The sequence below is a fragment of the Homo sapiens genome, chromosome 11, assembly GCF_000001405.40.
Source record: "Homo sapiens chromosome 11, GRCh38.p14 Primary Assembly".
Lineage (NCBI taxonomy): Eukaryota > Metazoa > Chordata > Mammalia > Primates > Hominidae > Homo > Homo sapiens.
Window position 1 is genome coordinate 63,095,382 of NC_000011.10, and position 12,186 is coordinate 63,107,567.

At 37.1% G+C, this 12,186-nt stretch overlaps 1 protein-coding gene across 1 annotated transcript in view; it reads right to left on the minus strand.

The window, feature by feature from the left end:
- The window catches only part of SLC22A24 (solute carrier family 22 member 24), a 64,282-nt gene that overhangs the window by 15,442 nt on the left and 36,654 nt on the right, over positions 1-12,186 (minus strand). The window contains exons 5-6 of the mRNA NM_001136506.2: positions 8,794-8,917; positions 610-725 (exon numbers count right to left, since the gene is read on the minus strand). Coding sequence (NP_001129978.2) covers positions 610-725; positions 8,794-8,917 — 240 coding nt within the window. The remainder of the gene's footprint in view (positions 1-609; positions 726-8,793; positions 8,918-12,186) is intronic.

The window sequence follows — 12,186 nt, forward strand, 5'->3', positions numbered from 1 at the left end:
ACCTACAATTAATTAAAAGACCAAATTACTGTTATGCAAGACAAAATGAATAAATTTCACATATTTAAAGGTACACAGATAGCATGATTCCATTAATATTAAATTCAAGAACCAGCAAATGTAATCTGCAGGGATAGCAGTAAGTACAGTTGGTGGTTTTGGAGAAGTATTAACTAGGGTGAAAGAGACATGAGAGATGATTCAGGATGCTGAAAATGAGCTTGTCTGGGTGGTGGTTACATAGTTTTATAGATTTGCAAAATTGATCTAGACAGCCAGTTGATGTAACTTCTTTAGTGAATAAAAAATTAGAAAATCAAAAAATTAAACTATGTTTTATGGTAAAACTTACTATCACCATAATATCCAGTGATAAACTTTGTGCTGGAATATGATGCTGATAAGTTTTAACTATGTGGTTAGGTCCCACTGTCCTGTCATAATATTAGGCTATCTAAAAATGTGGCACTTAGAGGCATACATTTGTATGTGATTTTCTCTTCTCTTATGTATTAAATGTCCTCCAAATGCTGCTGCTAATCTTTTGAAAGAAGAAACAGTTTTGTGTCTCCAATATTTTAAAGTGAATCATCACCAAATGGAACTTACCTCACAAAGCACAGGCCGAAGACTCTCATTCGCAATTTGGGTGCACGGAACAGGGAAAAAATGGATGTTTTAATTCGGACTGCATCCAACTCCTTCTTCATGGTGGATCTCACAAGCTTCAGCAACAAAAATAACAACAAGCATTTGTGAGATGTCAATAATGTGTCAGGCATAGTGGTAAGTACTAGAGAACAAGATAGACATATTGTAAACTATCCTCAAGGAAATTTCTGTCTAGTGGGGAATATGAGCATTAAATAATTCATCTCATGTGTGAAGTGTTACAAAAGGTGTAGGAAGAAATGGGAACTCAGAGGAATTATATAGGAATAAAACCAGGTTAAACACTGAGCCAGTGATAGGTAAAAGCATTAACAAAAATATTTGCATTATAAATCGGAGGAAATGAAACGGTATTTGTTTAAAGGTTAAAGGTTTCTTTCTTATCCACTGGGCATGAAATACTTGTCCTTCCTTTGTTATGAGAGAAGGTGTTTATTTTTATAAGTCAATAGCTTTCTTGAAAGCTGGGTCCACTTTATGATTAGCTTCTGAGCAATTATTCTCTAGATATGCCAGTCAAGTGTTTGCTATTGTGAACAGTGCTGCAATAAAAATATGTGTGCATGTGTCTTTATGGTAGAATGATTTATAATCCTTTGGGTATATACCCAGTAATGGGATTGCTGGGTCCCCTCATGAGTGGAGTGCACAGAAGTGAAGGCAAGGAAAAAAGTTGGGGATGTGTTGGTGGAGTATGATTTTTGCCTAAGCCAGATATTTGAAGAAGTGAAATATAGTTGTTGGAAAGGAGATGGTTTTAGGCTTGCACAAGTCTGGCTTGGAATTTCAGCCCTGCCATTTGATATATTACTTATCTCAGGTGCTTAGTTTTCTTATCATTTAGAAAATGAATTTAGCGTTTCTTTCATAGGGATTATCTAATAATTATCTGAAGTCTTACATGTAAATATAAAATGTATTTAGCACAGGAGTAGAAACATTATTTTTAAAAATAATATTAATTCATTTCTTACATTTATGATTTAGTGCAGGATATGGGAGACTTTTACATAGAGCTCCAGTAAGTAAATATTTCAGGCTGTGCACAGCAAAAGAAACTATCATCATAGTGAGCAGGCAACCTACAGAATGGGAGAAAACTTTTGCAATCTATCATCTATCCATCTGTCAAAGGGCTAATATCCAGAATCTACAAGGAACTTAAACAAATTTACAAGAAAAAAAAAACAACCCCATCAAAAAGTGGGTGAAGTATATGAACAGACATTTCTCAAAAGAAGATATTTATGCAGCCAACAAACATGAAAAAAAGCTCATCATCCCTGGTCATTAGAGAAATGCAAATCAAAACCACAGTAAGTTACCATCTCATGCCAGTTAGAATGGCGATCATTAAAAAGTCAGGAAACAACAGATGCTGGAGAGGATGTGGAGAAATAGGAATGCTTTTACACCATGGGAGTGTAAATTAGGTCAATCATTGTGGAAGATCGTGTGGCAACTCCTCAAGGATCTAGAACCAGAAATACCATTTGACCCTGCAATCCCATTACTGGGTATATACCCAAAGGATTATAAATCATTCTACTATAAAGACACATATGTTTATTGCAGCACTGTTCACAATAGCAAAGACTTGGAACCAACCCAAATGTGCATCAATGATAGACTGGATAAAGAAAACGGGGCACATATATGCCACGGAATACTATGCTGCCATGAAAAATAATGAGTTCATGTCCTTCATCCATGTCCCTACATGGATGAAGCTGGAAACCATCATTTTCAGCAAACTAACACAGGAGCAGAAATCCAAACACCATGAGTTTTCACTCATAAGTGGGAGCTGAACAATGAGAACACATGGACACAGGGAGGGGAGCATCACACACCAGGGCCTGTTGGGGGATGGGGGGCAAAAGGAGGGAAAGCATTAGGACAAATACCTAATGCATGTGAAGCTTAAAACCTAGATGATGGGTTGATGGGTGCAGCAAACCACCATGGCACATGTATACCTATGTAACAAACCTGCATGTTCTACACATGTATTTCAGAACTTAAATTATAATTTAAAAAGTTTAAAAAATGGAAATAATATCAAGCATCATCTCTTACCACAGTGGAATAAAACTAGAATTCAGTAACAAGAGAAACTTTAGAAACTATACAGACACATGGAAATTAAACAATATGTTCCTGAATGACCAGTGGGTTAATGAATAAATGAAGACAGAAATTAAAACTATCTTGAACCAAATGAAAGTGGACACACAACATACCAAAACCTATGGGACAGAGAGAAAGTGGTACTAATTGCAAATTTATAGCAATTAGTGCCTACATCCAAAATGTATAAAAACTTCAAATATTGGCAGGCACAGTGGCTCATGCCTATAATCTCAGCACTTGGGAGGCCAAAGTGGGTGGCTCACTTGAGGTCAGGAGTGTAAGAGCAGCTTGGCCAACATGGTGAAAACCTGTCTTTACTAAAAATGCAAAAATTAGCCAGGCATGGTGGCACATGCCACCCAGCTACTTGGGTGGCTGAGGGAGGAGAATCACTTGAACCTGGGAGCTGAAGGTTGCAGTAAGCCAAGATTACACCACTGCCCTCCAGCCTAGGTGACAGAGTGAGACTCCATCTCAAAAAAACAAACAAGCAAGCAAACAAACAAATAAAAAAACTAAACAATCTAATGATGTGTCTTACAGAATTAGAAAAACAAGGGCAAACCAAACCCCCAAAATAGTAGAAGTAACAAAGATCAGAGGAGAAAGAAATGAAATTGAGAGAAAACAATACAAAAAATGAACAAAAGCTGGCTTTTTGAAAAGATAAACAAAATTGACAAACTTCTAGGCTAAGAAAAAAGAGAGAAGACTCAAATAAAATCAGAAATGAAAAAGGTGACATTACAACCAATACTGCAGAAATTCAAAGGGTTATTAAAGGCTGGTATGAGCAACAGTATGCCAATACATTATAAAAGCTAGAAAAAAATGAATAAATTCCTAGTCACATGCAACTTATCAAGATTGAACCATGAAGAAATTCAAAACCTGAACAGACCAATAAGAAGTAATGACATTGAAGCCACAATACAAAGTCTCCCAGCAAAGTAAGCACAGGAACTGATGATTTCGCTGATGCATGTTAACAAATATTTATTGGTTTTTATTTATATTTAAAATTTTTTTGAGTTGCTGTCTCACTGTTTTGTCCAGGCTGGAGTGCAGTGATGCTTTCATGGCTTATAGCAGCCTCAACCTTCCAGGCTGAGGTGATTGTTCCATCTCACCCCCTGAGCAGCTGGGACCACAGTCTGTACCACCACACCTGGCTAATTTTTAAGATTTTTTTTTTTTTTTTTTTTTTTTTTTTTGTAGAGATAGGGTCTATGTTGCCTAGGCTGGTCTTGAACTCCTGGACTCAAGCAATTCTTCTGCCTTGGCCTCCCAAATTGCTGGCCTTACCAAACATTTAAAGAACTAGTACTAATCCTACTCAAACTATTCTGAAAAAATACGGGAGGAGAAAATACTTTCAAACCCATTCTGTGAGGCCAGTATTACTCTGATACCCAAACCAGACAGAGACAGATAAAAAAGAAAACTACAGGTTAATATCCCTGATGAATATTGATACAGAAATCCTCAATGAAATACTAGCAAGCCAATTTCAATGACACGTGAAGAAGACTGTTTTTCACGGCCAGGCAGAATTTATGACCAGGAATGCAAGGATGGTTCGACATATGCAATTCAACCAATGTGATACATCCTATGAACAGAATAAAGGACAAAAACTGCATAATCATTTCAGTTGATGCTGAAAAAGCATTTGATAAAATTCAACTTCCCTTCATGATAAAAACTCAAAAAAATCTCAGTATAGAAGGAACATACCCCAATATAATAAAAGCCAGATATGATAGACACACAGCTAGTACCATAGTAAATGGATAAAAACTAAAAGTCTTATCCCTAAAATTCAGAAAAAGACAAGGATGCTCATTTTCACTACTGTTTTTCAACATAGTACTGGAAATCCTAGCTAGAGCAATCAGACAAGAGACAGATATAAATGGCATCCAAATTGGAAAGGAAGAAGTTAAATTATCTTTGTTTACAAATGATATAAGCTTATATTTGGGAAAGCCAACACTCCACAAAAAACTATGAGCTGATAAACAAATTTAGTAAAGTTGCAAGATACAAAATCAACATAAAAAATAAGTGGCATTTCTATATGACAACAGTGAACAATCTGAAAAATAAATTAATAAAGTAATACCATTTGTAATAGGTACAAATAAAATACCTAGGAATAAATTTTTAATCAAAGAAGTGAAAGAGCTCTACAATGAAAACTATAAAGCACTGATGCAAGAAATCGAAGAGAACACACAAAAAATGAAAATATATTCCATGTTCATGGATTGGATTAATCAGTATTGTTAAAATGTCCATACTACCCAAAGCATTCTACAGATACAATGCAATATACCAATGATATTCTTCACAGAAATAGAAAAAATAGTCTTAATGTTTTAGTGGAACCACAAATGACTTAGAATAGCCAAAGCTACTCTGAGTAAAAAGAATAAAACTGGAGGAATCATGTTACCTGGCTCTAAATTATACTACAGAGCTGTAACTACCAAAACAGCATGGTACTGGCATAAAGACACAGACCAATGGAACAGAGTAGACAAGCCAGAAATAAATCCCTACATCTACAGTGAACTGATTTTTGACAAAGGTACTAAGAAAATACTTCAGGGAAAAGACAATTTCTTCAATAAATGGTGCTGAGAAAACTGGATATCCATTTGCAGGAGAATGAAACTAAGCTCTCACCATATAAAAAATCAAATCAAAATGGATTAAATGCTTACATCTAAGATTGCAAACTATACATCTACTATAACAAAGCACTGGGGAAACTCTCCAGGTCATTGGTCTGGGCAAAGATTTCTTGAGTAATATGCCAAGCAGAAGCACAGGCAGACAAAGTAAAACTGGATAAATGGGATCACATCATGTTAAAAAGCTTCTGCACAGTAAAAGATATAATCAACAAGGTAAAGAGACAGCCTGCAGAATGGGAGAAAATATTTGCAAACTACTCATCTGACAAGGGATTAATAACCAGAATATATAAGGAGCTCAACCCTCATACACAGTTGGAGGGAATGTAAATTAGTACAATCACTACGGCAAATATTTTGGAGGTTACTCAAAAAACTGAAGATAGAACTACCATATGATCCAGCAATGTTACTACTTGTTTTTTTTTTAAATTACACTAGGTAAGTGTTTATTAAATTAATGCTACTCTTCAAAAGTTGCATATAATATTACACTAGGCAAGAATCAATGCTGCTATTCAAAAATTGTATATAATATTATACTAGGTAAGTGTTAATTAAATTAATGCTGATATTCAATTATTAATATCAAACAAATTAGAAATAAAGCATAAGTGTTAGCTTAATATGGATCACTACTATAAGGTAAAAAGATTCAAAAAGCCCAGGAGTTCCATATGATCCAGCAATGTTACTACTTGGTTTTTATCCAAAGGAAATGAAATCAATATTTGAAGAGATATCTGCACTTCATGTTTATTGCAGCAACATTCACAATAGCCAAGATATGGGGGCAACCTAAGTGTCCATCTACAAATAAATTGATAAAGAAAAGTTGATACGTATACATGGAGTACTATTCAGCCATAAAAAGAATGAGATTCTATAATTTGCAGCAACATGGATGAAACTGGAGGTCATTATGTTAAGTGAAATAAGCCGGACACAGAAAGATGAACTTTTCATGTTCTCAGGAACATTTGTGGGAGCTAAAAATTAAAACAATTGAATACATGGAGATAAAGAGTAGAAGGATGGTTAGCAGAGACAAGAAAGGGTAGTTGTGGAGGGGGAATAAGGTTGGTTAGTGGGTACGAAAATATAGTTAGATAAATTGAATAAGGTCAAGTGTTTGATGGTACAACAGTGTGACTAAAGTGAACAATAATATATTGTACATTTAAAAATGACTAAAATAGAATAATTGAATTGTTTGTAACATGAAGAAAGGATAACTGCTTGAGATCATAGATACCGCATTTACTCTGATGTGATTATTATGCATTGTATGTTTGTATCAAAATATTTCACATACCCCATAAATATTTATAACTACTATGTACCCATAATAATTAAAATCAAGAAAAAAGAAATGGCTTTGGAATACTGTTATGAAAACATGGCCTAGAGATTGTTTCTTAAGATCCCAGAAAGATAAAAGAGTCAGTGTATTATTCAGAAACAAGGGGCCCTCTAAAGAGATTAAAAATATGTCTCTCAATAAAAAAAATACAGCCTCTAGGATACTCAGATGCACTGGTCTGTCACCCATCTCAGCAGGAGCCATAGGTAGAATAGAGCTTATCTCAAAGATGTTTGTTGCTGTGAATTTTGTCTAACAAAAATAAACCCCAATGGGTTGACAGGTGATCTGCCATGTTTTTGAGAAATCTTTGGTGGAAAAAACACTGCACACATGATAGCGTGGGATAGAGACAGTACAAAATGAAAAAGCCTGTGTAACCCCACAAATCTTGCTGGTGAAAAGCTGAATAAGAGTACCATTCAGCTGCAAACATGTTCTTTTTCATGAGAGGGAAGAAAACTCATAAATTGTATCCAAAAGGGAAGAGATTGTAGCAGAGAGCCAAATTGCTTTCATTTTCCATGCCTTGAGACCTAATCAAGGAACTTCTAACGTTTGCCTGGCTGCACTTCATAATTGCTCTGAACTCCTTGTACCTCATGTCTCTCCCATTTTGATCAGGAATATCTGCAGTAGTTATTCCATGCTGCTATCATTATTGTATGCTGGATGTGTTGGAGACAGATGTCTTGTGTCTTTAGTTTCACAGGTCAATTTATACAAACACAAAGGTCCTATAGTTAGAGAACTACATATAAGTAGGCTTGTTCACACTCGAACTTAATTGAAATTCTGGACTTTGAGCATATGCTATAATGAAATAATACTTTTCCAGACATTGTACATGTGTTAATTTACTTAGCATATCAGAGGGATGAAATCATTTGGGGCCAGAGGCTAGAATCTTTGTGTTTTCCTTTACTAACATGTTCTTCTACAGGGCATTTGCTCTCTTTCAGGACTGACATGTATTTATTAGTTTTGCTTATACCAACCAGTTCATTTTATCCCTGAAATGCTATTTGTCTTCCTTTTTACCAGCTAACTCCTAATCCTTTTCTGACCTATTAAGGCTAAAGTGGATACTTCCTCTGTGTTTTCTCAAAAATACTCTGCATATAACCATATGATAGCACCTATTCTATATTATAATGATCTCTTAATTTTTGTGTCCCATAGTAAAATTTAAGTTCTTTGAGGTCAGAGACTCTGACTTATTTTCTTATCAACATCTAACAATACCCTGGTACACCCTGGTAGGCAATAAGCATTTTTAAAGGAATGAGTGAAAGAGTGCTTGAATGAGCCACGTCAGGCTCTGGCTTCCAGTCATGAGAAGAAAAACTTCAAAAAAAGAAAAATTCTCAGCTGTTTTTCTGGCACACACAATATTAGTACCCCTGATGAAGACAATGTAAATGCCAAAAAGGTCTTTTATCTATTTTACTGCTGTATCCACATTGTGTAGAACTTTATTTGACTTATTTGGTGCTCAATGGGATATTTATTGAATTATTGAATAAATACATAAAGGGTCAAAATCACATTTAAATCTATCTTCTGTATGATTAATTATAATTTATTTTATTGGCTTTCTTATTTTCCCCAGAGGGGACCATGAGTCAGTAAAATAGTGAGAAATAAATTGTGTTTTGATTACTTTCCCCTATACGTCTAGGGTAAGAGCATGAAAATTTCCCAATCAATTTAATTAAACAATTATATCCACTTCTCCCAGTATATTTCAATATCTATATCCAAATCTTTGACAGGAGGAAAGATATATATATTTTATCAGGACAGAGATGTAAGACTCCACTCACAGAAGTCTAATTCTGTCACTCCAGGAACCTAGACTAGTATGATTGTGAGGTCATGTTTTCATTTAATCACAGCAATCATTTCCCCTTTCCAGATCACCTCAGTGGTCAGTGTCTCTTCAGTATTCTTTTTTCCATTTATGTGTGCAACTCTTCTAAGCTCCTTTAAGCCCTCATCTAGCTGATTGTTGATAATCAGCCACCGAGCAGACTCCACCATCTTCCTGATGAAAGAAGACAACATAGGTATAGTAAACAATTACTTATTTGGCACTTAACCTTTAACATGAAATTCCTTTCCCCTTTGATTTAATACAGACATTATAAATTATAGTAGAGTCATTTCTGACCAAATTGGCCTCCTCTGCTGGACTCCTAGGGTGAAGGATGTATCTGGCCATCAATAAGTGTTTGTTAAAGTGATTATACAGAACCATGAGTGTGTTAGTCCATTTTCACACTGCTGATAAAGACATACCTGAGACTGGGTAACTTATAAAGAAAGAAAGGTTTAATGAACTCATAGTTCCACATGGCTGGGGAGGCCTCAGAATCATGGTGGCATGTCTTACCTGGTGGCAGGCAAGAGAAGCAAAAGGGAAGCCCTTATAAAATCATCAGATCTCATGAGACTTATTCACTACCATAATAACGGTATGGGAGAAACCATCCCTATGATTCAATTATCGCCCACTGGGTCCCTCACTAAACCAGATCATTCTGCCCTGGTCCCTCCCAAATCTCATGTTCTCATATTTCAAAACCAATTATGCCTTCCCAACAGTCCCCCAAAGTCTTAATTTTTTCGGCATTAGCTCAAAAGTCCACAGTCCAAAGTCTCTTCTGAGACAAGGCAAGTCCCTTCTGCCTATGAGCCTATAAAATCAAAAGCAAGTTAGTTATTTCCTAGATACAATGGGGGTATAGCAGTGGATTTGACCAAAATGAAGGGGCTGCAGGCCCCATGCAAGTTCAAAATCCAGCAGGGCAGTCAAATATTAAAGCTCCAAATGATGTTCCTTGATTCCATGTCTCAAATCCAGGTCATGCCGATGCAAGGGGTGGGTTCCCATGGTCTTTGGCAGCTCTGCCACTGTGGCTTGGACAGGGTACAGCCCCTCTACTGGATGCTTTTGCAGTCTGGCATTGAGTGTCTGTGGCTTTTCCAGGCAAATGGTGCAAGCTGTTGGTGGATCTACAGTTCGGGGATCCAGAGGACAGTGGCCCCCTTCTCACAGCTCCACTCAGCAGTGTACCAGTGGGGACTCTCTGTGGGAGCTCTGGCCCCAATTTCCCTTCTGCAGTGCCCTAGCAGAGGTTTTCATGAGGGTCCTGCCCCACAGAAAACTTCTTCCTGGACATCTAAGCATTTCCATACATTCTCTGAAATCTAGATGGAGGTTGCTAAACCTCAATTTTTAACTTCTGTGCACCTGCAGGCTCAATACCACGTGGAAGCTGCCAAGGCTTGGGGCTTGCATCCTCTGAAGCCACAGCCCAAGTTGTCCCTTGGCCCGTTTTGGCCATGGCTACAGTGGCTAGGACTCAGGACACCTGCCCCTAGGATGCACACAGCAGGGGTCCCTTGGTTTAGCCCAGTAAGTCATTTTTTTTTCTCCTAGGTAAATAGGCCTATGATGGGAGGGGCTGCCCAAATGTCTCTGACATGCCCTGGAGACATTTTCCTCATTTTCTTGGTGATTAGCCTTTGGCTCCTCATTACTTATGCAAGTTTCTGCAGCAGGCTTGAATTTCTCCTTAGAAAATGGGTTTTTCTTTTCTATCACATCATCAGGCTGCAAATTTTTCAAACATTTATGCACTGTTGCCCTTTTAAAACTGAATTTTTTTCTTTTAAATTTTATTATTATTATACTTTAAGTTTTAGGGTACATGTGCACAATGTGCAGGTTTGTTACATATGTATACATGTGCCATGCTGGTATGCTGCACCCATTAACTCGTCATTTAGCATTAGGTATATCTCCTAAAGCTATCCCTCCCCCCTCCCCCCACCCCACAACAGTCCCCGGTGTGTGATGTTCCCCTTCCTGTGTCCATGTGTTCTCATTGTTCAATTCCCACCTATGAGTGAGAACATGCGGTGTTTGGTTTTTTTGTCCTTGCGATAGTTTGCTGAGAACGATGGTTTCCAGTTTCATCCACGTCCATACAAAGGACATGAACTCATCATTTTTTATGGCTGCATTGTATTTCATGGTGTATATGTGCCACATTTTCTTAATCCAGTCTATCGTTGTTGGACATTTAGGTTGGCTCCAAGTCTTTGCTATTGTGGAGAGTGCTGCAATAAACATATGTGTGCATGTGTCTTTATAGCAGCATGATTTATAATCCTTTGGGTACATACCCAGTAATGGGATGGCTGGGTCAAATGGTATTTCTAGTTCTAGATCCCTGAGGAATCACCACACTGACTTCCACAATGGTTGTCACTAGTTTTCCACTAACAGTGTAAAAGTGTTCCTATTTCTCCACATCCTCTCCAGCACCTGTTGTTTCCTGACTTTTTAATGATCGCCATTCTAACTGGTGTTAGATGGTATCGCATCATGGTTTTGATTTGCATTTCTCTGATGGCCAGTGATGATGAGCATTTTTTCATGTGTTTTTTGACTGCATAAATGTCTTCTTTTGAGAAGTGTCTGTTCATATCCTTCACCCACTTTTTGATGGGGTTGTTTGCTTTTTTCTTGTAAATTTGTTTGAGTTCGTTGTAGATTCTGGATATTAGCCCTTTGTCAGATGAGTAGGTTGCAAAAATTTTCTCCGATTTTTTAGGTTGCCTGTTCACTCTGATGGTAGTTTCTTTTGCTGTGCAGAAGCTCTTTAGTTTAATTAGATCCCGTCTGTGAATTATGGCTTTTTGTTGCCATTGCTTTTGGTGTTTTAGTCATGAAGTCCTTGCCCATGCCTATGACCTGAATGGTATTGACTAGGTTTTCTTCTAGGGTTTTTATGGTTTTAGATCTAACATTTAAGTCTTTAATCCATCTTGAAGTAATTTTTGTATAAGGTGTAAGGAAGGGATCCAGTTTCAGCTTTCTACATATGGCTAGCCAGTTTTCCCAGCAACATTTATTAAAATAGGGGATCTTTTCCCCATTTCTTGTTTTTGTCAGGTTTGTCAAAGATCAGATGGTTGTAGATGTGTGGTGTTATTTCTGAGGCCTCTGTTCTGTTCCATTGGTCTATATCTCTGTTTTGGTACCAGTACCATGCTGTTTTGGTTACTGTAGCCTTGTAGTGTAGTTTGAAGTCAGGTAGTGTGATGCCTCCAGCTTTGTTCTTTTGGCTTAGGATTGTCTTGGCAATGTGGGCTCTTTTTTGGTTCCAGATGAAGTTTAAAGTAGTTTTTCCCAATTGTGTGAAGAAAGTCATTGGTAGCTTGATGGGGATGGCATTGAATCTATGAATTACCTTGGGCAATATGGCCATTTTCATAGTATTGACTCTTCCTGTCCATGAGCAT